This window comes from Homo sapiens, chromosome 7 (assembly GCF_000001405.40).
Source record: "Homo sapiens chromosome 7, GRCh38.p14 Primary Assembly".
NCBI lineage: Eukaryota > Metazoa > Chordata > Mammalia > Primates > Hominidae > Homo > Homo sapiens.
This window is the reverse complement of record NC_000007.14, coordinates 107,265,312-107,292,258: the sequence shown is the minus strand read 5'-3', so window position 1 is coordinate 107,292,258 and position 26,947 is coordinate 107,265,312. Positions and strand designations below refer to the sequence as shown.

At 36.3% G+C, this 26,947-nt stretch overlaps 1 protein-coding gene across 10 annotated transcripts in view; it reads left to right on the top strand.

Moving 5' to 3' along the window:
- The window catches only part of COG5 (component of oligomeric golgi complex 5), a 362,549-nt gene that overhangs the window by 271,662 nt on the left and 63,940 nt on the right, over positions 1-26,947 (top strand). For 9 of the 10 annotated variants that reach the window (NM_001379516.1, NM_001379515.1, NM_001379512.1 and 6 more), the window contains 2 exons: positions 8,527-8,688; positions 10,860-10,959. In NM_001379516.1, coding sequence (NP_001366445.1) covers positions 8,527-8,688; positions 10,860-10,959 — 262 coding nt within the window. The remainder of the gene's footprint in view (positions 1-8,526; positions 8,689-10,859; positions 10,960-26,947) is intronic. The other variant, NM_001379511.1, reaches the window with a different exon arrangement.

The window sequence follows — 26,947 nt, the reverse complement described above, 5'->3', positions numbered from 1 at the left end:
GAGTTTGAGACCAGCCTGAGCAAAACAGACCCCGTCTCTACAAAAAATAAAAAAGTTAACTGGGCTTGGTAGTCCACACCTGTAGTCCCAGCTACTTGGGAGGCTGAGGTGGGAGGATCACTTGGGCCTGGGAAGTCAAGGCAGCAGTGAATGGGGATCACACCACTATACTCCAGCTTAGGTGACAGAGCAACACCCTTTCTAAAAGAAGGAAATAGAAAAAGAAAGGCAAAGAAAGGAGAGGAGGAAGGGGAAAGGAAAAGGAAAAAAGAGAAAAACAGCCTCTATTCTCTTCCCCAAGTAAGTGACTTCATTTGCAACTGAACCTGGAGAAGTTTAAACCTAAGGGTATTCTCAAAAAAACCCTGGCAGTGTGGTGAAAGGCAATGGGAGGAGACTTGTAGTTCTAGTGAAGATAGCTGAAGGTAAGCTAGCTCCAAGGAGAGATCCGGAGAATAAGACAGCTGGGAGGAGCCCCTCCTGGAATCAGAGCAGATATCAAACATGACCTCAGAAAGGTTCTATCAAAGGAGCTACAATTAGCTCCTTTGTAGATTCCTTTGTAGAGGAGTTTTTGCCTCAAGGCATTGTTGAAAATGTAGAGCAGTCAGTTAATGGAGTTTAGTATCTGGGTGTGGTCAGAAAAAAAATGAGGAAGATAATCCTGCCATTAGCACTGCCATCTCAAGGTGACTATTAGCATACCCAAAGCTGTGTCTAGCTGAGGAACATCAGAGATTTAAGACTGTGGGAGAGAGATAGACTTCATTAAAATAATCCAGCCAATCACTAAACAGATAAAAAGCAAACAACAATAACAAGCCTTAGAGCTGCGGGGACCAGTACCCAGAGTTGCAACAATGTATCTAAAATGCCCAGTTTTGGCTGGTTGTGGTGGCTCATGCCTTCCTTTAGTTCTGTGAATAGCTTTGACCTGGCAGAGAAAAGAATTCACCAACTTGAAGCTAGGGTGATAGAGATTACACAAGTCAAAAAAACAGAAAGAAAAGAATGAAGAAAATAAACAGAGCCTCAAATAAATGTGGGATACCATTAAGAATACCAACATCTATGTTATAGGAATACCACAAGGAGAGGAGAGATGTAATGGAGAAAAAAACTTGAAGAAATAGTGAATGAAACCTTCCCAGTTTTTTGAAATACAATAGCCTATCCATCCAGGAAGCTCAACAAACTCCAAGTAAGATTAATGCAAAAAGACCCACAAACAGATACATCGTGGTAAAAATGTCAAAAGTCAGGGACAAAACCCTGAAAACAGCAAGGGAAAAACTATACAATCGGCTGGGTGCGGTGGCTGACGCCTGTAATCATAGCACTTTAGGAGGCCAAGGCAGGAGGATCGCTTGAGGCCAGGAGTTCAAGACTAGCCTGGGCAACATAGTGAGACCCTGTCTTTACCCACTCCCCACGCCCCCTTCCCAAATACAACTATACTTCACTTACAAGGGAGTCCCAATAACATTAACAGCTGACTTCTCAGCAGAAACAAAGGATGCCAAAAGGTAGTGGGCTCAGATTGCTCAAAGGAAAAAAAATGAGCCAAGAATCCCATGTCCAGTAAAGCTGTCCTTTCAAAAATGAAGGCAAAATACTTTCCTTGATTTAAAAAAGAGAATTTGTTGCTAGCATTCCAGCTTACAAGAAATACTAAAGAAAGTTCTACAGGCTGAAAGCGAGTGACCCCAGATAATTCGAATCCCCACAAAGTAAAGGTAATTATGAAATTATAAAAGACAATATAAACACACATTTTCTTCTTCTCTTAACTGACCTAAAAAGCAATTATATAAAATAATATGTATCGACTGTATAAAACAAAAAGTGTCTGAGACAGGTCTCTATTAATTTAGAGGTTTATTTTGCACAGGTTAAGGATGTGCCTGGGAAGAAGAGACTCTAGTCACTGAAGGATCTGAGACCTGGATTTTTTCCAAAGAGGGTTTTGAGGACTTCAAGATTTAAAGGGGAAAGAGTGGGCAGGAAGGGAAGGGGAAAAGAAAAAAAGTGGGGAGGGTAGGTAGTGAGATAAGTGGTCACATTCTTGTGAGGCTTTGATTAGCACTCACTGAATCCACATGTTACATGTGAAAGAAGAGGGTACAGGAACAGTCAGTTATGCATTTGTTTCATGTTCATCAAATCTGCATTTGTCTCATAGTGGGCAGTAGAATTATTTCTAATATTGTCATTGTACCTATATGTGAAGATAAGCTGTTAATTTACAGGATCAGGGTGAGGGAGGCCACCTGGAGAGAGATGTGGCCTTCCATCTTGCAGCTGTTTGGGAACAAAGGAAAGGCAGTTTTTTTGCATAACTCAATTTCCAAGCTTAACTTTTATCTTTGGCATAGCAAGTTTGGCACAGGAGGTAGGTAGGAACAAAGCTGAAATTTTCTAGGAAATGATGACAGATAGTAAAATAGTAATTATAACAATTCATTGTTGGGTTTATTAACATTAACAGATGTAATATGTATAACAACACCACAAAGATAAAATATTTAGGAATAACTTTAACAAAAGGAGTGCAAATTTATACTCATAAAACTGTAAAATATTGTTCAAAGAAATATCTAAATAAGTAGAAAAGCATCTCATCTTCATGAATTGCAAGACTTGACCTTGTTAAGATGGTAATGCCCCCCAAATTGATATATATCGATTCAGTACAGTAACTATCACTATCAGAATCTCAGCTGAGTTCTTTGTAAAAAGTAACAAGTGCTTCTAAAATTCATAAGGAATTTCAAGGGACCCAGAATAGTTAAAACAATATTGAAGAAGAAGAAGAAGAAAAAGAGTGTAGGAGGGCTCACAAGTCACTACAAAGCAATTTTAATCCCTATGGTATAGTACTGCCTGGCACAAGGATAGACATAAAACTGAGAGTATAGAAGGAAACCTGTAAATCTATGGTGAGTTGTCTTCAAAAAGTGTAAAGACCATTCTTTCAATCGAGAAAGAATTATCTTTTAGACAAATGGTGCTGGGACAGCTGATAGTGACATGCAAAATAATGAAGTGGTGCCCTTCACATCATATACAAAAATTAACTCAAAATGGATCAAAGATTTAAATATTAGATTAAAAATATAAAACAAGGCTGGGCACAGTGTCTCATGTCTCATGCCTGTAATTCCCAGCACTTTGGGAAGCTGAGGTGAGAAAATCACTTGAGTCCAGGAGTTTGAGTCCAGCCTGGACAAGATAGGGAAACCCCATCTCAATCAATCAATCAATGTAAAAATTAAAAATATAGATAAATTTTTAAATATATATATATATATATATATATATATATATATATATATATATATATATATATATCTCTGTTAGAAAACATAGGGGCAAATCTTCATGCATTAGGATTTGGTAAATAATTCTTAGACATGACAGCAAAATCACAATCAACAAAAGACAAAATTATATTTAAATGATATTTTGGACTTTCTGAAAATTAGAAACTTTGCTGCTTCAAAGGATTACCATTAGGAATGGGTGAAAATATTTCTGACTCATAGATCTGGCAATTGACTTGTTTCAGAATATATAAAGAACTCTTTTCAATTCAACAATAAAAAGACAAATTACCCAACTAAAAAGTGGACAAGGGATCTGAGCAGACATCTCCAGAAAACATAGATGACCAATAAGCACATGAAAAAGATGATCAGGAAAATACAAATCAGAACCACAATACAAATCAGAACCACTATGTCACGCCCCCTAGGATGTCTATAAACAAAAAGACAAATAGTAGCAAGTGTTGTCAAGGATGTTGAGAAATTACTATCCTCATATGTTGCTGGTGGAAATCTAAACTGGTACAGGGCCTTGGAAAAGGGTTTGGCAGTTCTTCAAACTTTTTTTCTTGAAACTGGGTCTCGTTCTGTAGCCCAGGCTAGAGTGCAGTGGTGCAATCACAGCTCACTGCATCCTCTAACTCTCCGGCTCAAGCAGTCCTCCACCTCAGCCTTTGAGTAGCTGGGATTACAGGCGTGCACTCCCATGCCTGACTAATTATTTTATTTTTTGTAGCGGCGAGGTTTAACTTTGTTGCACAGGCTGGTCTTGAACTTCTGGGCTCAAGGGATCCTCCTGCCTCAGCCTCCCAAAGTGTTGGGATTACAGGCATGAGCCACTATGTGCGGCCTCTTCAAACTATTAAACATAGTTACCATATGACCCAGCAGTTTCGCTCCAGATGTATACCCAAGGGAAATAAAAACATATGTTCACGTAGACATTTGTATGCAAATGTTTGTAGCAGCATTATTCCTGATAGCCAAAAGATGGAAACAACCAAATGTCTGTCAACAGACAAATGGGTAAACAAAATGTGCTATATTCATACAATGAAATATTACAATTAAAATATATACAATATTAGCCATAAAAAGAAATGAAGTACTGTACATGCTGCAACATGGATGAACCTTGAAAACATTATACTAAGTGAAAGAAGACAGTAAAACACACACATACACAGATACACACAGTATATTATCCCATTCATATGCAAATCCAGAATAGCAAAATCTATAGAAACACAAAGTAGATTAGTGATCGATTGGGCCTGGGGATGGAGTGAGGAAGGTGGAGTGTTGTAGTTAAAGATACAAGATTTCTTTTTGAGGTGATAAAATGTTCTAAAATTGACTGTGGTGATGATAGCACAGATCTCTGAATATACAAAATTCATCAAATTGTATACTTTCAGTGATTGAATTCAAGTGGTGGTATGCTATGTAAATTATATATATGAAAGTTGTCAGATTCGACATGGAGTCACTTGTGTCAAAGCCTGGCAAAATAGAGCTGGGGGACGGTTATGAAGGGAGAGCTGTCACACATGATTTGCCTGATAACAAGAACTATCACAAGAAATTTTTCTCAACTGCAGCTTACTACACAAGTCACACAGGGACAGCTAGCCACTTAAACAAGAACATTTGCCTGACACACTATCTCACAAGCCCAATCCAAACTGCAAGGGCCTAACCATAACACTAAAATTGCAAGTCCTACTTTGCAATTTACTGACACTCACCAATCAGAACTCACCAGCTCTTATATAAGATGCTGCCAGTGCCAGTAAACTGTCTTTGAAAACAACTTGCATAACCTCCTCTTCCCCCAATAAACTCCAGCCTTTCTTTTGTTTTCCAAACATACCAGAGGCCACCCTGTTCTGTCTGTAGGTCCAAGATAGCAATCCTGCTTCTCGTATGTTATTCCCCAATAAAACCTTTTTACTTAGAGATATGTCTTTATATTTTTTATGCTGACATATCTTTTTCCTTTATTTTTTTAACTGACACATAATATTTATACATATATAGAGTGATGCTGTGATACATGTATAGCGATCAGATCTGTGTAAGAAGAGAATGGGATAAGAAGAGATAGATTAAATTATTCTGGGAATTTTTTATTTTAAAAAAAGGAGTGAGGTTACCTCTTTCATTGAAATAATAAGAAAGTCACAGAGAATAGATGAAGTTGTAAGAGGGAAAAAAACAAGAGAAGTGCCACGTTGAGAAAGGTCACGGCCAGTGGTTTTCTCTTAGGGTAAAACCAAGACAAAAGTCATCTATAAAGATTGAAGAGTTGCACAAGTAGAATTTTAGGTTATTACTTTGACCTTCAGGTCTCTTGATTTTAAAGAAGTTTGTATAAATGTCCAGTAGAAATCATTTTTTCTCTGAAGTACTTGGCCAGCTTAGCAGCAGATACAGAGAACATCTCAATAACATTTTCTTAGAACTTTGAAAGGAAGGTGAATTGGAAAAATCAGGGTGCTAATGAGAGCACCTTGAAATGATGGCTATGGAAAAAGGATGACTATAGACATGGTGGGCTGATGGAGGCTGGAAGCAAGAAGGGGTCATGTAGCATAAATTACAATAAGGTCAAAGAACAAGTTCTTTAGAGTAAAATATACCACCCTTATAGATATGCAAAGCCTAACATGACGTCCATCTGTTTTCTCTGATATTATCTTGTACTACCCTCCTGTTACTTGATCTGCACCTCTGGCCAACACAGCCAGGTATGGTCTCTCCTCAGGGCCTTTGTACTTGCTGTTCTTTCCTCATGGAAAGCAATTTCCCTGAAAATCTACACAATTAGCTCCCTCTTTTCCTTCAGGGCCCCTCAGTAAGCCTTCCTTTGCCTCATCCTATCTAAAATCGGATGGAAAAGGAAAAAAGACTTAAGCATTATTCTCTATCTTCCTTGCTTTATTTTTCTCTTAGCACTTATCATTATCATATTCCATATTTAACTTATTTTAAATTTTTATTTTTGTGTATATCTCTCCTGTTACTGTGTAAGCTTTAAGAAGACAGGGAATTTTTTTTTTTTTTTCTTGACAGAGTCTTGCTGTGTCGCCCAGGCTGGAGTGCAGTGGCATGATCTTGGCTCACTGCACCCTTTCCTCCTGGGTTCAAGCAATTCTCTCTCAGTCTCCTGAGTAGCTGGGATTACAGGCACATGCCACCATGCCACCAGGTCCGGCCGGGAATTTTTTTTTTAAAGCAAGTTCTCTACTATATTTCTGCACCTAGGAAATACTTGGCAAATATTGTAGTGACTTAATATTTGTGGAAGGAAAAGTAGAGATAGAAGGTGGGGCATGTAGACAGTTTCCTTTAAGCTTGAAGATCTTAGAGGTGGAGCAGTTCAAAGTGATGACTCAAATTTGGAAGCCCCCTAGTAAAGCCAAAAAAGGTTATTATAAATGTAGACTTTTAATATAGGACATATTTTAGAAAAGATGTTTGACATTGTAGTTACCAAGGATCTTTAACGGTAGATTTGGAGAACGGGAAAGTGTTAGTTCTTATAATTCAGTGCCAAAATTTCTGCAGAAGTGGGAAGAGGCTTCTGAGGTCAGTAGATGTCATGAGTAAAAATAGTGACATTTAAATAGATGGCTCGGACTTCAACAGAGGATTGCTTCAGACACATTTAGATACTAAGTTCTTTCATGCTTCCATCATGGTCTTGGTATCTTCATCTATTACAGAAATTATTATAATTAGCATTTTACCTGCCAATTTCTTCACAAGACTGTAAAGCACTCTTAATCTCTATCTTCCCAGCACTTTACAAAGTGCCTGGTGCGTAGTATTCTCAGTAAATATGTGTTGAGTGAAATACTTACTGAATGAGAAAACATTAAGAGATAACTATGGAATTATGATGTTGGAGCCAAGAGCATTCTGATCTCTAGGTCATATCAGTGGACCAGAAGGGTGAGAAAAAGAGAAAGCCAAGTTTCATATACATGAAGGAGCAGGTTAGATGTTTTAAAGGTTAACTTTTTAGATGAAGGAAAATTTGTTGTTTATAAAAGAAAAAAGACAATGCAAAAGCTGGTGGAAGGATTGTAAACAGGGATGATGTGAGAAGACAATTAATTATAGGAGTAAGGAAACATGAAAATAATGGTTATAGACATTTGATAGTAATTGTCGAAAGAAAAATGTAAGATCAAATAGTTTGACTGCTAAATGAAAATCAGCATGAATTATTAAAGATATGGGAAGTGCAAGCAGGAAAGAAATGTTTCTCAGGTTACATTTGATGTTGTGAAGAATATTATAAAACAAAGTAGCATAGAACTCCACTTGGGAGTATTTACGTGATTTTAGGACTTCCATAAATACTTTTTATTTTGTCTCACTCTTGTTAGTAACACAAAAATGGAAAATGTAAAAACCTAAGTCTGTACACTTCCCTCTCAGTCAGTGAGCTTTACTGGGGAGGCAGCTATGGATGGAAAGGGCCAAGCTAATGGAGCAGGTCTCTGCAGGCTGGTCTTTCTTCCATATGCTTCGATAACTCTATAGGTATGATTTACAAGTAAAGGCATAGCCCCCATTAGCATTAATAGGATTTTACTGTTATTCTTTTAGTTTAAGGAAACAGATAATACAGTAGGTATTGGTGCATATTATTGTGCATTTATAGTGGGGACTTACGTAGAGATTAAAATGTTAATATAGGCCGGGCACGGTTGCTCACACGTGTAATCCCAGCACTTTGTGAGGCCGAAGCGGGTGGATCACTGGAGTCAGGAGTTTGAGACCATCCTGGCCAACATGGCAAAACCCTGTCTCTACTAAAAATACAACAATTAGCTGGGCATGGTGGCGGGCAGCTGTAATCCCAGCTACTTGGGAGGCTGAGGCAGGAGAATCGCTTGAACCCAGGAGGTAGAGGTTGCAGTGAGCCAAGATTGCGCCGTTGCACTCCAGCCAGGACAACAGAGTGAGACTACGTCTCAAAAAAAAAAAGGTTACTATGGTCCTGAATGTTTAATTATGAAATATATTGGTAAATATGTACGTTGTGAAACAAATTATTTTCTTTTTCTTAATATAGAGTTACATTTTTATGGGAGGTGCATTTTTTAAAAAGGTATTTACAGCCTGATACAATAGCATTTAGCTCTGTGCAATTTAAGTTAGTTTTTAAAAAATTTTGTTTCCACAGTCCAGAAAAGGCTTTGAAAGACTCACTACAACCCTATGAGGCTGCTTATCTATCAAAATCCTTATCTCGACTCTTCGATCCTATCAACTTGGTTTTTCCCCCGGGTGGTCGTAATCCTCCTTCCTCTGATGAACTTGATGGTATTATTAAAACTATAGCAAGGTATGTATTTTTTATATAGTGGCTTGCCATAAGATGACTGCCATATTTGTTAGTGATATATGATAGCAGTACCTTTTTAATTTATTTTCAAATTATTCAAGTAATTAGGCCCACAATTAAATTAAGAATTTTATAGTAAATGAGTGCACACATAGTAAGTACTTGAGATTCCAATTAATAAATAATTTAAATACCTTAAATATAGTCTAAAAACAGTCTATTATAATTATTCTATATCTTGCCAAGGATGCAAAGTAAACCTAGCTCTTTGTATCATAGTAAATTTCTTACGTTACACAAGAAATCAAATATAATAAACGATTTTATAAATTGAGAAACTAAAACATACAGGTTAACTTTTTTTTATCCTAAACTCCAGAACGTGCTTCATGGCAGAAATAGGAATATAACTTTGATTAGCTTGTGTTCGCTATTTTAAGCTTTTTAAGTGAATGTGACAGCTTTTAAGACTAAAAAGGGAAGATATCCTAGCAGAGGTGCCACCTGAATGCCTGCAGACAATGTAATTATATACTGTTGGCTTTAGACACTTATTTAAAAGTTATCCAGACCAATTTGCAGTTGAAATTATCTCAGTTTCTGTCATGACTAACAAGTTGTCATAATAGTAGATCTGTACATTTGAGATGGACGTTTTAAGGAATAAAAAATAGTATGAGACTGAGGTCTAAATTCTTTTAAAGATTTGAAGATGGTGATTCTGAGGCGTGGAAGAGTAAGACTAAAAAGCCACAGGTGGCCAGGCATGGTGGCTCACGCCTGTAATCCCAGCACTTTGGGAGGCGGAGGTGGGTGGATCACCTGAGGTCAGGAGTTCCAGACCATCCTGGTGAAACGCCATCTCTACTAAAAATACAAAAATTAGCTGGGCCTGGTGGTGCACGCTTGTAACCCCAGCTACTCGGGAGGCTGAGGCATCAGAATCGCTTGAATCCGGGAGGCGAAGGCTGCAGTGAGCCGACATCACGCCACTGCACTCCAGCCTGGCTGACAGAGCGAAACCCTGTCTCAAAAAATAAAAATAAAAAGCCACATGTATAATAATATACATAAGCATATCTTTTGCTGCAAACGTACCTACAAATTGTCTAGATTGCCCAGCATCTTGGTCCTAAATCTCTCCACAATTGCCTTGACTTTCCTTCTGACTATAGGTCTTAGTAACTTGATCTCTTTGACCTGTTTATGTAAATGTTAAAGAGGAATCTCTCCCATTCCTCTGTGCAACTTGACAATGCTATAATCAAATATAATCTACAACTGGAAGAATCATGCTTATGCTAGTGTTTAATAAAATTTAAAAGTGAACATTAACAAAATTATGTCTCAATACTGTATGAAAGTGCATTTTTGTTACACATAGTATGCTCTAGTATTGTTTCAAACTTTCAACTTCTTTAAAAAGAGAATCTGGTAAGATTTACTCTACTACTTTAGGGACAATAATTTTCTTGCTTTCCATCTGTATATGGGTTTCTATATTATTTTTAATTTCTAGTGTTCTTTCCATGGTCTTCGTAAAATACTTTTTTTTTTTTTTTTGGCAGTCAGATCAAATACCCCAATTAATCCAATGTTAAAGTTGAAGCATGACAAAAATATACTTTAAGAATCCGAATTTTAAAAATTTGTAATTATAGTCCTGTTATGCTTTTATATTATTTAAAAAGCTACTCTATTGAAACTAGCATGAATTGGCATAATTTCTACAGAAGCTGAGTATCTTTATATATCATGTGTAATTTATATTTTTAGCCTATGTCCCTTTAAGGTCATCATTTCCATTCAAGAGCTGTCATTTCCTTGCAGATGTCTGTGATATGCAATGCCTCTGCTTGCACTTTATCAGTATTAGCAAGAGTGCTACTTTAAAAATCTGTACACAATTTACTCCTTTAATCACAGACTGAACCCACATATGACATGCTTTTGTTAATGAGAAACTGGTCATTAAGGAAGCCATCTCCAGGTACTTTTTCCAAGTGCTGAAATTAGGGGGTAAAATGAAACAATGCAACCAGTTCTTGGAAGCAGTGAAATCTATAAAAAGAATAACCACATTGCTTATTGGGTTTGAGTTTTTATCTTGCTCTTTACTTTGTTGATGAATGATGTTGCTAATATTTAAAAACTGTTTTCATTTTCTCCAGTGAACTAAATGTTGCTGCTGTTGATACAAACCTCACATTAGCTGTGTCAAAAAATGTGGCAAAGACCATCCAGTTATACAGTGTAAAATCAGAGCAGCTTGTAAGTGGTTTCCTTTATCTGTAAACTTTAATGATTTTATTTAAAATTACTAACTATATAATACTTGACTAATCATAAATATTGAATTGACTATTTACTTACTTCCATTTTTACTGTAGTGAAAGTTTGTAACTTCCTGATGAATTTAAACCAGAAAAAAAATTTGTTAACAAAAAAATGGCCCTCCTACACATTGTCAATACACTTTCAGAAGACAAGCAAGTTTTATAAGGTTTCCTTTTTTAACGCATGTGCCAATTAATGGCCTAATTATATATTTTTAAATATTTAAATATTTTAGTAATTTACATAAATTATAATTATGCATGATCAATCAAGTTTTCCCTTTTGTGTGACCACTAACTCCATATATCATTCATGCATGGTCACCTAGTATGAAATTGACTTGAACTGTTAGAAAACTGTTGGAGGAAGTAAAGTACGTAAAATTTTAGTAGAAAAATGTTTATTTACTTTTTAAAGATTCCAACCCTAGAACCTGGGAATTTAACCCTAAAATTATTCTATTTGAAATAGCTATATGCATGCATTTAAAATAATAAGTACATAATTGAATCATAATCTTAATTCTATACATTAATGTTTGAAAGTTAAGCACACATATTTCACTAGTATATATGTATGCTAATTGAAATCCAAACAAAATGAGACTTCAATATTTTTTTTTTACCATTATTGATATACTAATTTTAGACAGTGTGTCAAAATCTGATTGTCTCCACTATCTTTAGAATGTTAGCTAACTACGTTTTCAGTTTATCCTCTCTAACCATTCCCGGTTGAAATACCATAATAAACAAAATAATCTACTTTTATCTATATCCAAGTTGTTTCAGTTTGTTCTGTGATAATTTTTAGGGTAAGTTGGTGACATACTGAAGGATTTACATAAAATGATCCTTGGAGGTAACAGTCATGTTACGAGGCTTCCTTCTTTTAGTTCCCATGGATGGCCAGATTTTGTTTGCAAATATGGTACTATTTTCATTCAATTGATCTTGTAGTCTTGACAAAATCATCTTAGAAGCATCTTTTTAAGAACTTTATTGAAAACTAACCATACAGAGATATAGAAGCTCTTTGTAGGAAATTACTATGAATTTAGATTACTAATTTTTCTCTCAATCTTTGTTTAAATCTTTTTTATAATGTTCACTGCTTCAAAAACATGGTTATTGCTATAAATAAAATTCAGTGTTATATCTAGTAGAGTATAGTGTAATTACTGACAATGCTAAGATCTGAAGATAACACTGTAAGAAAGATCCAGCATGTATATAGAAAATACCTTGCATTGAGAGTAGGGAGGGACAGTGGTAATGGTAATATGTACTTCAGTTAACATAGTAATGGCAAAAGGCTTAGACGAAATCAAAATATCTGCAAACATTTCACTGAGTTGATACTGTTGATCAAATTGTCAGTGGCTGTAAATTACTTAGGCCTATCTAATGTACCTGCAGTGTTGAAGGCTAACAGAAAATCATTGTCATTTTTTGGTTTTTAATTGGATTATATCTTTTTTTATTAAAAATAGTTTTATTTTTCAACTTTCATTTTAGTGTATAAGGGAAGCTTAAGCATTAAATAAGATTATAAAAAACATCATATGCCTTATTTTTAAAAATATATTATTGACTAATGTCTTAAGTAACAACTTGCTGTTAATGTTTGTTTCTTGGCATTTAATAACACTCTTCTACCCCTCAATGTGCTAAAATTATACCTGTTTTGTTCTTTAATCTTTACAAATATTCCTATTTTTTTAGAATAATTTGACTGAAAACATTTAGAGGAAAATAGCCAAATTGTAAGTCTTTAGTGGAAGAAAGACTTGAAACAGATTTTTGAATTGGATAACTACTCTGCCTATAAATGGAAGTATTGACTTGAGATTTGGTATGAAAACTAAATCAATGAGTAGGAGATTCTTTTCAAAGATGAAAAATTTAAGCTTCCAGTCCACAAGATTAAGAAATGACAGAATCTGTTGTTTCCTGACTTTTTAATGATCGCCATTCTGACTGGCATGAGATGGTATCTCATTGTGGTTTTGATCTGCATTTCTCTAATGACCAGTGATGATTAGCTTTTTTTCATATGTTTGTTGGCCACATATATGTCTTCTTTTGAGAAGTGTCTGTTCAGACCCTTTGCCCACTTTTTGATGGGGTTGTTTGTTTTTCTCTTGTAAATTTGTTTAAGTTCTTTGTAGGTTCTGGATATTATCCCTTTGTCAGATGGATAGATTGCAAAACTTTTCTCCCATTCTGTAGGTTGCCTGTGCACTCCGATGATAGTTTCTTTGGCTATGCAGAAGCTCTTTAGTTTAATTAGATCCCATTTGTCAATTTTGGCTTTTGTTGCCATTGCTTTTGGTGTTTTAGTCATGAAGTCTTTGCCCATGCCTGTGTCCTGAATGGTATTGCCTAGGTTTTCTTCTAGGGTTTTTATGGTTTTAGGTCTTACATTTAAGTCTTTAATCCATCTTGAGTTAATTTTTGTATAAGGGGTAAGGAAGGGGTCTAGTTTCAGTTTTCTGCATATGGTTAGCCAGTTTTCCCAACACCATTTATTATATAGGGAATCCTTTCCCCATTGCTTGTTTTTGTCAGGTTTGTGAAAGATCAGATGGTTGTAGATGTGTGACGTTATTTCTGCAGCCATAAAAAAAGATGAGTTCATGTCCTTTGCAGGGACATGGATGAAGCTGAAAACCATCATTCTCAGCAAACAAACACAGGAACAGAAAACCAAACACTGCATATTCTCACCCATAAGTGGGAGTTGACCAATGAGAACACGTGGACACAGAGAGGGGAACATCACACACCGGGGCCTGTTGGCGGGTGGGAGGTAGGGGAGGGACAGCATTAGGAGAAATACCTAATGTAGATGAGAGGTTGATGGGTGCAGCAAACCACCATGGCACGTGTATACCTATGTAACAAATCTGCACGTTCTGCACATGTATCTCAGAACTTAAAGTATAATAAAAAAGAAAAGAACAGAAACGAAGGAAGAAAGGAAGGAAGGGAAGGAAGGAAGGGAAATCAGATCATTAATAGAATGCTCAAGCAGTGAGATAAAGGAAAGCTAGAATTTTAAAGATAAGCATGTTTTCAGAAAGAGTGACTTGCAAATACAACCTGAAATGTACATCGAACAGCTTTTCATAATCTGAAATGTATTTCCCTAAAGATTGGTTATAGAAGTCTCTTGGCTACTGAAACGTTTTAGTATACTTAGTTATAGATTTTATTCATATCAGGAGAAAGGCTTATAAAAGGTTTTTTCAAGCTGATTTTTAATATTCTGGGGTATAGTAGATTATAACATTAAATTACATATAGAGTGCGTTATATACTTATAATAATACATCTGAAATTATTTTTATGATTACGTATTTTTTTCCCTAAGGCTTTTCTGTTACTAATCACCAAAGGTATGTGTTATACAAACCTAAATCTCTGTAAGGATAAATCCTTCAGTCCTTCTGAATCCAAAGCGATACCAGAGAATTTATTTTTAAGAGTGAGGTTGGGCCACAAAAATAACTACCATCATTAACCTTTATAGTGAATCAGGAATTGTGCCAAGCCATTTATATATATTATTTCATTTATTTCACAACAATCCTATGAAATGAAAGTATTACTGTCCACCACTACAAAATGTAGAAATTGAAGCTGAGAACAGTTAATAGCATGAGTAATATAGACTACTAAAATTAGAATGCCTGGGAGCAGGTGTTGGCACTAGCATTCAAATCCAGACCAGACTGTAAAACAAGCTTGTCCAACTCGCCTTATTTTTCACTGTTGTTGTTCTCTTGTTTTTTTTAGGCTTTTAGCAGCCTGAAGCCATGGTTTTTAGTTTCTATCTCTAGTGCTAAGCAGAAACGTATAATGAGTAAGGGGCTTTACTGGCCTAACCAGAAACAGAAACTAAGAACCCACGACTGTATTCTCTCCCATGTTCACCTCTGCACCAACCTTTAATACTTTATTTCTGATCTGTAGCTTGTATATAAACATAACATCTTTTTTATTTAAGAAAAGTTGCATTGTGTTATACATATTGTTTTGTGAATTGCTCATTCATTTTACAATATATCAAGATCTACATTTACTATGTTAATACGTGCATAATATATTTTATTTATGTGTAGAATAGTTTATTTTACTTCTGTGCTCTTAATGTATAGTTAGATGATTTCATAGTTTAATTTTGAAATAATAGGGATTTAGCATTGATGCTTCACATCTGAGTTCTAAGCAATAGGCTTTAGTTCCTGCAATATGTGTTTAACTTAGTATGGGTCATGTGAATATCAGCTTTCTAGATGCTCTTTTGTAAAACTGAGATCAAGGTTTTTTAGATTTTCATTTAAAAATTCTTGTTTGTCTTGACAGCAATTGTGAGGTTATAATTAATTTACTAAGAATTTTATGTTTCAAATACACATATACCTATAGGTGTAATATCATAATATTTTATGATTAAACTGAACAAATTATTTAATGGTGATATATTGGGGATTTGTTTGTATAGTCTGAAATGTGACCTTTAGAAGAAAAGGTCACTAGACCTTACAGTGGAAAGTTTGGGGTTTTTTGTTTGTTTTTGAGATGGTCTCACTCTGTTGGCCAGCCTGAAGTACAGTGGCATGATCATGGCTCATTGCAACCTCTGCCTCCCAGGCTCAAGGTATCCTCCCGCTTCAGCCTCTGGGCATGCCAGCATGCCTAGCTAATTTTCTTATTTTTTGTAGCGATGGAGGGTCTCGCCACATTACTCAGGCTGGTCTCGAACTCCTGGGCTCAAATGATCCATAGCCTTGGCCTTCTGAAGTACTGGGATTACAGGTGTGAGCCACTGTACCTAGCCACAATGGAAAGTTTGAATTAGTGTTTTTCTTATCCTCTGTGTGTTAAAAGAAAACTAAAATATTAGTACATAAGGGAACTGTTGTGGCACCTTTAAAATTTATAGGCTTGTAAACTTTTTTGATATCAACTTTGGAGGCAAATATATTAATAAGTATCCCTTTTAAAAACTGAAGGGTATTTTCCAACAGTAACCATTATTTGATGGTTCCAGGGAATGGCATCTAGAATCTTAGTGTAAATGGCAAATGTTATGAACTGTGAGAAAGGAGATTGGCATTTAATCAGGTTGCAGACCATTTGAAACAATAATAGGAATGACATTTAAGGGGAGGTCTCAACTTCAATGCAGATCAGTAGCTATGTATGAGGTCAATAGTTCTAGACACTAAGGTTTTATTTTAAGGCTTTGTAAATATACACTTTATTCTTTATATAATTTTATAAGTTGGAGACTTGACATTCCTATGATGGAAAAAAACATACATGTGTGATATTTAAATGGTATAGAGACATATGAGCTCAAATATGAGTTCAATTTTTTTTTTTTAAGTTCTAAAAGTATTGGCCAGGTATGGTGGCTCATGCCTATAATCCCAGCACTTTGAGAGGCTGAGGTGGGCAGATCACCTCAGGTCAGAAGTTCAAGACCAGCCTGACCAAAATGGTGAAACCTCATCTCTACTAAAAGTACAAAAATTAGTCAGGTGTGGTGGCGCGCCAGGAGAATCGCATGAACCCAGGAGGCGGAGGTTGCAGTGAGCTTAGCTTGCACCACTGCACTCAAGCCTGGGCGACAGACCAAGACTCCATCTCAAAATAATTAAATAAATAAAAGTATTATTTAATGGAGATTTTAATGCCATCTACATGGATTATCACCCCATATATTATTATATGGTAATAGCTTATGTTGTTAATATGCAAAAAAAAAAAGATCAAAGGCAATATGAAATCACTTGGAAGAGTTTTTATATTATGTGCAAACAGATGAAACAAATCAGTAGTGTCTTTTTGACCAAACGCACTTTCTCTGTGATACAAACACACCAATCCCTTTAGGTTACCTAGCTAGCCTCTTGATCCTTTTTTTTTTTTTTAAGAGATGGGGTTCTCACTATTTTGGCCAGGTTGGTCTTGAACTCTTGGCCTCAAGCAACCTCCCACCTCGGCCTCCCAAAGTGAGCCACTGCGCCTGGCCCTCTTGATCCTTTAGATAGCCTGGCACTTTTTGTTACCTCTCTTCTTACGTTGGACTATTTTAGGATTACTTCATCCTTTCTTCAAGACAGCTTTCTGGCCTGACACACTGGCTATACCTATAATCCTAGCACTTTGAGAGTTCGAGACAGAAGGATTGCTTTGAGCCCAGTAGTCCAAGACTAGCTGGGGCAACATAGTGAGACCCTGTGTCTACAAAAACAGAAGAAAAAAAGATAGCTTTCTGACTTGCTTCTCAGACTTGTAAGAGCTTGATTTTCTGGGGGCTGTGGCAAGTCAATACTAGATGAACTGTCAGGACTAAGAGTCAGTAGATCATATTGAAAACAGAGAGCAATGACAATATTTTCAAGAGAAGGTAAAAAATTTGAAATTGTTAGTTAAAGCAGGTCAAAGTCTGTATTAGTTATATGTTGTCATAAGAATGCTGTGTAACCAACAACCGCTGTTGGCGTGGGTGACACGCAGTAAGCATTTATTGCTCATGCTTCTCGGGTCATATGGGGTGCTAGCTAGGTGTCTTTTCTGAGGTTGGCTGGGTTTACTCACAAGACTGGCTGGCTGCTGTTCTAGGCTGGCCTTAACCATATTAAAACTTCTGCTCTATTATACGTAGCTCTAATCCTGCAGCAGCCTATCCTGGGCCTGATCTCATGGTGAAGACGGGGCACAGGAGAGAAAATATTCCCGTAAGTCTCACCAAAACAACCCCTCCACAGTGCAAAATTAAATAGCAAAGAATGAAGATACAAAGGGGGTGAAGAGTGGGATGAATTATGTCATCTATCATAAAGCCAAATTGAGAGTATGCAACAATGAAAAAAGAGAGCTCATGAACTTTTTTAATTTTAATTTTTAATATTTAGAGACAGGGTTTCGCTATGTTGCCAGACTGTTATGCAGGGCGTATTCACAGGTGCAACCAATGTTCTCTAAAGCCCCAAACTCCTAGGCTCAAGCAATCCTCCTGCCTCAGCCTCTCAAGTAGCTGGGACTACAGGCAACTCCACCACACCTGGCTGAGCTTTTATTTTTATTCCCAAAGATGGACGCTCCCTACTTGAATCCTAATGGTGTGTTTGTGTTAAATTTTATGTCATTTGACACCACCTTCATTGCCAAAGAAGAGAGAAATTCATTGCTATGGTAATTTACTTAATGATTTCAGTTAATGCTAATATTACTATAAAAATCAAAAGACTTTTTCCTATATGGCTTTTAAATTATATATGTTGACCTCTTATCACATTTTCTAATCTTTATTGTCCTAAACCTCTTTTCATTACCACAGGCATATAATATTCAAACATTTTCCCTTTTCTATTTTTTTATCTTTCTCATTTAAAAATTTTTTTTCTTCATTCCAGAATATGAAGTTTTTTTAGTCTCTGAGTAAATGGAATCCTCCACACCCACCCTAGAAAATATTAGTATTAGAAGTTTGAAAAGAAATTGAGCAATTGAATCTTGAATTCAATTGAGCAATTGAATAACTTTTTACTTACCATGTTATCACTTCAGTACCATCAGGAAGATTTTTGAAATTTGTTATTTAGTTTTTCCAGATGTTCTCATTGAGAGGATTGGTCAATTACATAGTCAATTTTTTACTGGGATTGGAAGTCCTAACACTATAGAGCTTTTATATCTGTTGAAGCATATTAGTGATCAAGTACAGCTTTTAATCTTACCCTGTTCCAAGGTATGGACTATAATTTAATTCCTTCATGTGTGCTTAAAAATTACACTATTTGAAATTATATTTCTGGGAGATAAAAGTGTCAACATTTAATCAAGGTTAGGCTGTGGTTTACTCAGAGCACCCTCCTTCCTAGCGTACACCCACATACAAATACATATCACATTAAAGATATACCTGTACTCATAATAAGATCGAAAGAAAACCTGCATTTACTGCCCAGGGCCACTATAGGTATCAACCTAGTGTGACAAACAGCAAGATTGCCTTGCAAATGGAACTAAGGCCAAAACATGCTCAAGAACTACATCTGCAGTATCCCAGTGTGACACCAGCTACCAGCAGTAGATAGGGTTCTGAATTGGAGACATGTAGTAATGGTATGAAGGGAGGCATGATTAATGGGGCAACTGTAACTACCCCTCCCCGAACACACGTATTAGGCACAAACCCAGAATGAGGGAGAAGACTTCCTTTTAAAAATTAGGATGCAAACTAAAACTCTGCATTTGAGTATAAGCAAGCTTGTTTGAATCTTAGAAGCTATGGATTGTCTTTGATTATCCTTTGCTGTATCAGACATGTAGCACACTTTTGAGCAGCTTTTACTCAACTCACTAGTATTAGGTTGTGCCAGTTTAGAGTACTTTCTGAGACATATCTAAAAGCAAAAATGGTGACATGGAAAGATTCTCGCTGTAATGGGAATTAAGAAAAATCCTCTTTCTCTTTCTCTATCTCTTAGATAGTCTTAGCATATTCAATACCTTAGGGCAGGAATTGATAATCTAGCAATGGGAATGGGTTTAGGGGATCTGTAGATCCTAGGAAATTATAAAACATATAAAACTTAGTTCCATTTGCAAGTTTTATGAAAACAAAAATATTTCTCAAAATATTTTTGAAATTGTGAACCCCGTATATCTGAGACAGGTCTCAGTTAATTTAGAAAGTTTATTTTGCCAAGGTTGAGGACTTGCAGAGACACAGCCTCAGGAGGTCCTGATGACACGTGCCCAAGGTGGTCAGAGCACAGTTTGATTTTATACATTTTAGGGAGTCATGAGACATCAATCAACATATGTAAGATGAACAGTGGTTCCATCCGGAAAGGTGGGACAACTCAAAGCGGGGAGGGGGCTTCCAGATCACAGGTAGATAAGAAATAAATCGTTGCATTCTTTTGAGTTTCTGAATAGCCTCTCCAAAGGAGACAATCAGATATACATTTATCTCAGTGAGCAGAGGGGTGACTCTGAATAGAATGGGAGGCAGGTTTGTCATAAGCAGTTCCCAGCTTGACTCTTCCCTTTAGCTTAGTGATTTGGGGGCCCCAACATTTATTTTCCTTTCACAGAATTTTTCTGGGAAAATGCTCTAATAGATTTTAAAGAGGCCTGTGATTCTTCCTCCCCAAATAACTGATAGATACCTGGAAAATCCCCCAGGTATTTCAAAGTTAAACAGCAAACATTTAAATGATCTATAGGCCAAAGAGGAATATTTTAAAAAAATATTTCAAACTAAATAAAAATGAAAATAGAACAAATCTATTGGCATTTGTAGGATGCAGCTAATTCAGCAAAATTCAAATCATTGAATACTTTTATTGGGAAGGAAAAAAGATCTCAATCAAGGATCTATTACCTTAAGAAACTAAAAAGAGGAAAAAAAAGGGCAAATTAAACCCATAATAAATAGTAAGAAGGAAATAATAAAGATGAGGCAGAAAACAATCAAATTAAACACAAAAAACCAATGAACATGATTAAAGCCAAAAGCATATTCTAGAATTATGATTTTTAGTAAAATCATTGTATACAAGGTATCACTGAAAACCAACTATTTCTATCTACCAGCTACAAACAGAAAATAGAATTTACTTTATAAAAGGCTATTTACAGTGGCAGCAGAAAATATCAAATTCCAGAATTTGATATTTTCAAATTCTAGGAATAATTTGGCAAAATATGGGCAAGACTTTACACTGAAAACTATAAGTTGTGTTGAAAGAAATTGAAGAAGAATTTTTTAAATGATGGTATATATACTATTCATGTATTAGATGACTCAGTATTATAAGGGGGTTGATTCTTCTGAAATTGATCTGTAGATTTGATGTAATTCCAATAAAAATTCTAACTTTAAAAAAATTTGATCAATTGATTGTTAAATTTTTATGGAAATGCAGAAGTGTCAAGAATAACCAAGACACTTGTTTCAAGGGATGGAGTCTTGCTGTGTTGCCCAGGCTAGATGCAATGTCGTGATCCTTGCTCACTGCAGCCTGGAACTCGTGAGCTCAAGGGATCTTTCTGCCTCAGCCTCCCCAGTAGCTGAGATTTCAGGCATGAGTTACCACACCTGGCAATCAAGACACTTTTTTAAGAAGAGGAACAATGCAGAGCGATTTGCTCTACTACATAAGAAGACTTATAAAGTTATAGTAAAGGCCAGGTGTGGTGTCTCACGCCTGTAAATCCCAGCAAACTGAGGGAGAATCACTTGAGATCAGGAGTTAGAGACCAGCCTGGGTAATTGAGTGAGATCCCATCTCTACAAAAAAAAAAAAAAAAAAAAAAAAAAAGTTCTAGTTAGGATAATGAAGTATAAAATATTAGCACAAGTATAGAAAAATGGAACATTGAAAGAGAAACAGTCCCACACATATACAGTCACAGTATATTCAAATTCACAGTAAACAATTAATTTTACCAAACAGCCACTTTTCTCCAGTTTAAACATCAACTGCCTAAAATAACATTACCGAAACTAAATGTAGTATATATTTTGGAAGTTTGGAGAAAATGAAGGAGTAAAGGGGTGTGTGTGTGTGTGTGTATAACATCTTTCTTTTCTTGGGTCTAGATTTTTTTATGTTCACTTTTGGTAATTCAAAACATATGTGAGGCTGGGTGACATGGCTCACGCCTGTAATCCCAGCACTGTGAGAGGCCAAGGCAGGTGGATCGCTTGAGCCATGGAGTTCAAGACCAGCTTGGGCAACATGCGAAACCCCATCTCTACTGAAAATACCAAAATTAGCAGGATGTGGTGGCACATATCTGATGTCCCAGATACTTGGGAAGCTGAGGCAGGAAGGATCACTTGATCCCAGAAGGTGGAGGCTGTAGCGAACCAAGATCATGGCCACTGCACTCCAGCCGGAGTAATAGAAGGATGTCCTGTCTCAGAAAAAAAAAAAAAAAAAGCACGTGTGAGTACTATCTTTGCTAAGAACCGGAGAGAGAACTTTTTGAAAAATTTTATGCCTTTCAGTTCTGTTTCAATTTTTACCATATGCAAGATTTTACAAGAAGGAATAATTTGATTAGTATTCAGAGGGAGTGATCACAATGAATGGGACTGAAGAGGCAAGTCCAAGTGCCTAAAAAGGCAGTAGCAGCCTGGCAATTACTGAAGCATTGTGTGTTCTGGACTTTGGTTATACCGCCATAAAGTGATACCTTCAACCCCAGATCCTCTTGCTTATAAGCGTGGACTCTTGAATACTGACAGACTTAAAACTGATTAAATGCTCTTGCTTTTCCAGAATTCCTCGTGACCCAGTCTGACATCCTTGAAACTATGTAACCTTAATCCTAGATCCTGCCAGCTCTAGCAGGCCATAGTAAGGGCTTTGGCCTTCACTCAGAATGAGAGGGAAGCTATTTAATGGTTGAATGCAGAAGGAGGAAATCTAATGCAAAAAGGAAGGATTAGAATGCAGGAAGTAATAATAAGTAATAATAAGCACAAAACATTGATAAACATATAGGTAAATCTAATCTTTAATTGCATAAAATAAGAAATAATAGTGACTAATATGGAACATAGAAGTAAGATGGAACTAAAATACAAGTCCACATTAAGGTATAAAATGAGGAAAGAGTGATGGATTTTAAAGCATTTTAAAATGCATGTCATTGTTCAGAAGGATTGTAAAGCCATAGATATATTCACTTAAATTGAATATAATTTTTTTTTTTTTTTTTGAGACGGAGTCTTGCTCTGTCGCCCAGGCTGGAGTGCAGTGGCACGATCTCGGCTCACTGCAAGCTCCACCTCCCAGGTTCATGCCATTCTCCTGCCTCAGCCTCCCGAGTAGCTGGGACTACAGGCGTCCGCCACCACACCCGGCTAATTTTTTGTATTTTTAGTAGAGACGGGGTATCACCGAGTTAGCCAGGATGGTCTCAATCTTGTGACCTCGTGATCCCCCCGCCTCGGCCTCCCAAAGTGCTGGGATTACAGGCGTGAGCCACCGCGCCAGGCCTAAATTGAATATAATATTAACAATTTAATTATGACTACTGAAAGAATAGAAATAGAATATATAACTTAGAATTAAGTTAATGGAAAAGGGTAAAAAAGGAAACTATCAGTTGAGTAAAAGGCTGAAAAATATACAGAAACAAAAGAAGCAAAAATTGAATCATGACAAATAAGGGAAAGTTTATAATAAGGTAGTAAAATAATTCCAACATATACATCACTGATCACAATAAATATAAATATACTAAACTGGCCACTGACATTTTTCAGTTTGCATAGAATCAATGGCTGAATTCAGCTTCGTGTGACATACCTAAAATATAAGGACAGATAAAGGATGAAAGTAAAGGAATGGAGAAAAAATATTTCAGGCAAATACTAATCAGAAGAATGCTGACATAACGATATTAACATTAGACAGAATAGACCTTAAGTCAAAAAACATTATTAGGGATTGTGAAGGTCACATATTGAGAAAAGGAACAATTTACAGGAAGGTAAAGAATTATGATACACCTTACAAGACAGCCTCAGACTAATAAAGCACAAGTGGATAGAATTATAGAGAGAAATGGACAAATCCACTATCAAAATGAGAGACTGTGGTGGGGAAGAGGGTCAGTCAAGCCACACTGGAATTATATCCTTTAAAACTACTTCTCTTGAGATGCTTTCTCAAACACTTATAGCCATTTATGGCAAACACAATCATAGAATGACGAATATAGTGCCATGTTTTGCAAACTGAATTCCTGCTTTCGATCAGGTAATGAACCTTTTTTCCTGGTTTTACATTATAAACATTAATATTAAAACGAATATACAGAAAGAACCTAATTAACTTGGAGTTCAGTAATACACTTTTTTATTATTAGGACTTTAGCTGAACTGAATATTATTGTTGGACTATATATAAAGAATTTCTTAGGCCAGGTGCAGTGGCTCACGCCTGTAATCCCTGCACTTTGGGAGGCCGAGGCAGGCGGATCACCTGAGTTCGGGAGTTTGAGACCAGCCTGACCAAGATGGAGAAACCCCGTCTGTGCTAAAACTACAAAATTAGCCAGGCGTGGTGGTGCATGCCTGTAATCTCAGCTACTAAGGAGGCTGAGGCAGGAGAATCGCTTGAACCTGGGAGGCAGAGGTTGCGGTGAGCCGAGATTGTGCCATTGCACTTCAGCCTGGGCAACAAGAGCGAAACTCCGTCTCAAAAAAACAACAAAAAGAATTTCTTACTACGAAAAGTAATAATGCATGTAAGATTATAGATTTAATTACATTTTTAAAATTATTTTTTAAAAATAGAGGTGGGGATCTCACTATGTTGTTCAGGCTGGTCTCGAACTCCTGGCCTCAAGTGATCCTCCCACCTCAACCTCCCAAAGTGCTGGGATTATAGGTGTAAGCCACCATGCCCGGCCCTTACCCCAGTTATTTTTTTTAAATTGTATTGATTAATTAGGGCTTAATACTAGGAAGCTGGGATTTTAGTTATTCTGTATCCCTCAAAGTAATAAACTGTCATTCTTTTTTGAAATTCTGTAGTTTGAAGTTTAGTTTGTACTATAATCAAATTACTATAAATCAAAGAAGCCTTATTCTGTACATTTCATGTAGATATGAAGGATTGTTTAAGTTGTTAATAAATTACTTACAGTATTCATTATTGGAAAGTGGGAAAAGCTCAGCATACCTGAAAGTGAACAGTTCTTTCTTTTTCAAATAATTAAAAATATGCAGACTTATGACTCTAAATTTAATTAACAAGGCCAGTGTTTAGGTCATGGGTAGATAGAAATTCTATCTGCTGTTCAAAAGCTTAAGATCCTTTCAGGAAAAATAAAAGCTCTTAGAGAGGATAATAGATTTGATTAGATGATTCATTCTTAGCAAATTGTGTTTGCGTTTCTTATCCCCTGTATTGCCAGGTGGAGATTTTGACAGGAGCATGGGTAATCTAGAGAAGGTTAATGAGAAAGTTAGGTTGAGAAAGGGGCTTTGTGTGGTAGGAATTGGTGGTATTTGAGCAACAGAGTTTTGAGTTACAAAGCTGTATTTTATTCCTGTGTGGTGTTCATGCTCATCTCTCATGCATAAACAAGACATGATTTTGTTTCTTACTTTTTGGTTATATATTAACTGTTCAAACTGGATCCCATCTCAAGCTGTCATCTCTTTAATAACAGATTTGTGTGAAGATTTAGCCTGATGTTAAGATACAACATTACCATTGAGTCTGTTCTGTGGTTCAATTATACCTGTCTTTATTTTGTAAATAGCTAGTAAAAAACCTCTTTTTAAAATTGTCAAATATTTGATAAATTTAACAGTCCAGGAGATAACTAAGAATGAAGAAGGCAATGAAATCATTCTCTGAACTGCTAGATTGATGTTACAGTGTCCATATACTAAAGCACACACACATAACTCATAGGAAAGTCTCCCGGCTTTAACATGGTTAGTCCTCTGGTTTCCCACTTCAAAGCAAGTTAGACCAAGATGAGGGAAGAGTATCAAAAAAAGATCAAAAAAGAGAAAGTTTACACCCTAGGAATAACTCGTATTCCTACGAGTTATTAAACAAGAAAGTTTACAACCTAGGAAGGACTCGTAAAATCACCAAAATTTAAAGAAGAATAGGAAACACCAAATATCAAAAGAGGTAGTAATCTAAGTTTGTTTAATGAATGAAGGGGAATGCAGCTATATATACCCTGCTAAGCTTGGATGAAGTCACTAAAAGCAGAGAAGAGATGTAACAGCATAAAAACACTGCTCAAACACTTGTGAACATTTACAATGGTTAACCTAAGTAGAATTTGCCTTCTTCAGGTACATGTTCTGTGTATCTTATTTATGAAACCAGAAAAGTATGGCATACGCTGTGAGAATATTTTCTTGAAAATATTTTCTGATAGTTTTAGCACTCAAGAAAATTAGTTTCATTTATTATCAAAATTTAGTTAGATTGATGTGCTGGGAAAGTGACAAATTCCTGTGTAAACCTACAGATTTGTCCTTTATTATACATTTTCAAAAACATACCCTAACCCTGGATTCCACATAAAGTATAATTTCTAATGTATTACAAACTCTCTCACACACACGTGTGTGTGTATTATTATTATTATTGTTGTTATTATTATTTGGAGACAGGGTCTGTCACCCAGGCTGGAGTGCAGTGATACAGTCACAGCTCACTGCAGCCTTGACCTCCTGGGGTCAAAAAATCCTGCCTCAGCCTCCTGAGGACCTGGGACCATAGGCAAGAACCACTATGCCCAGCTAATTTTTTCATTTTTTGTAGAGACAGGGTCTCACTATGTTGCTCAGGTTGGTCTCAAACTTCTGAGCTCAAGCGATCCTCCCACTTCAGCCTCCTAAAGTGCTGGGATTACAGGCGTGAGCCACCATGCCCAGCCTATACAAACTATATTTAGCCTGAAGGATCTTTGATAATTTAATTGTGAGCACATACATATTTAAACATATAATTTTACATTTTTATAGGATAATTGACAAGTTATAATAAACTAAGTGATATTTAATCATAAGTCTTACATTCCTTAATCTGAACCAGGTAATCTATGATAAAAGCATTTGAAAAATAAACATGAATAAAAATTAAGGCTGAGTGCAGTGGCTCACACCTGTAATCTTTGGAAGATCCCAAAGGTGACTTCTTGAGCCCAAGAGTTTGAGACCAGTGAGGGCAAAAAGTGGACCCTGTCTCTACAGAAAATTTAAAAATTAGCTGGCCATGGTGGTATATGCCTGTGGTCCCAGCTACTCGGGAAGCTGAGATGGGAGGATCACTTGATCAGGAGGTCGAGGCTGCAGTGAATCATGATCATGCCACTGCACTTCAGCCTGCGTGACAGAG